Source organism: Homo sapiens, chromosome 1 (assembly GCF_000001405.40).
Source record: "Homo sapiens chromosome 1, GRCh38.p14 Primary Assembly".
Taxonomy (NCBI): domain Eukaryota; kingdom Metazoa; phylum Chordata; class Mammalia; order Primates; family Hominidae; genus Homo; species Homo sapiens.
Window position 1 is genome coordinate 2,849,785 of NC_000001.11, and position 1,282 is coordinate 2,851,066.

The following is a 1,282-nucleotide window of genomic DNA, read 5'->3' on the forward strand; positions in this document are numbered from 1 at the left end:
ACAGAATCTCCACATGACCCAGCCATTCCACTCCCAGGAACATCCCCAAAGAACTGAAGCAGAGACTTCACAGACCCACACCCCAGTGCACACATAGCAGCATAATCCCCAGTAGCCGAAAGGTGAGAGCAAACCAAATGTCCGTCAAAAGGTGAGGGCAAACCGAATGTCCGTCAGCAGACAAATGGATCGATAGCGCCTGGTGCAGTCACCCCCTTATCTGTGGCTTCGCGCCACAGTTTCAGTCACGCCCGCTCAATTGAGGCCCAAAAATATCAAATGGAAACTTTCAGAAATAAACAACTCACGAGCTTTAAATTATGCACCATTCTGTGCAGTGTGATGAAATCTCCCGCCATCCCTCTGTCCCGCCCTGCAGGTGAATCTGTGCTGTCTACACTGCTGCCCGTGAGCCACTTAGTAGCCACCTTGGTGATCCGATCGACGGCCATGGTATCACAGTGCTTGCTTTCAAATCACCCTTATTTGACTTAAATGGCCCCAAAGCACAAGTCTCGATGCCGACAACTCAGTTATGCGAAAGAGAGGCCGTGAAGTGCTTCCTTGAAGTGCAAAGGTGAACGTTCTCGATTTAATAAGGATAGAACAGAAACTGTACGCCGAGCTTGCTGAGATCTGCAGTAAGAACAAGTCTTTTCTCAAACTCTCAAGAAGGAGACAGAAATTTCTGCTAGTTTTGTTGTTGCATCTCAAACAGCAGCAGTTGTGGCCGCAGAGCATGGCAAGTGCTTAGAGAAGACGGAAAAGCGTTCCATGTGTGCGTGGAGGACAGGAGCGGAAGCGTGTTCTGGGATGGCATCATGTGGCCCTGGAAAGCACGGAGCCTGTAGAGAGGCCTCAGCAAGGCACCCCTGAGAGAGTGACGCCCAGCCGTTGACTCCCAGTTGAGGACAGTTATGCAGATTCCAGGCTGCATAAGCTCCATGGTGGCCTAGCTGCGTCCCAGTGCCTGCGTCCTGCGCCTCACTGCAACTCAGCACATCAGCGCGGGAAGCAGGAGGGGGAGCACCTCGCAGAGCGGCAGGATATTCAGGAGAGAGAAAGAGAGAGGCAGGGGAGGGAGGAGAGACCACAATCACGTAACTTTCTATTACAGTAAATGGTTATAGTTGTCTTTATTGTTAGTTAGTGTTAACCTCTTCCTGTGCCTGACCTGTGAATTAAACTTAATCATCGGTGTGTATGAGAAAAAACAGTATAGAGACGATGTGGTACTGCCTATGGTGTCGAGCACCCACTGGGGGTCTTGGCACCTATCCTC

At 50.7% G+C, this 1,282-nt stretch overlaps 1 annotated feature.

Annotated features, from left to right (window-relative positions):
* Positions 392-893: an enhancer, noted in NCBI's record as "H3K4me1 hESC enhancer chr1:2766741-2767242 (GRCh37/hg19 assembly coordinates)". NCBI's record gives its function as "activates a minimal SCP1, AML or CMV promoter by ChIP-STARR-seq in naive H9 embryonic stem cells {active_cell/tissue: H9 hESC(naive)}" and the evidence as "EXISTENCE:reporter gene assay evidence [ECO:0000049][PMID:30033119]".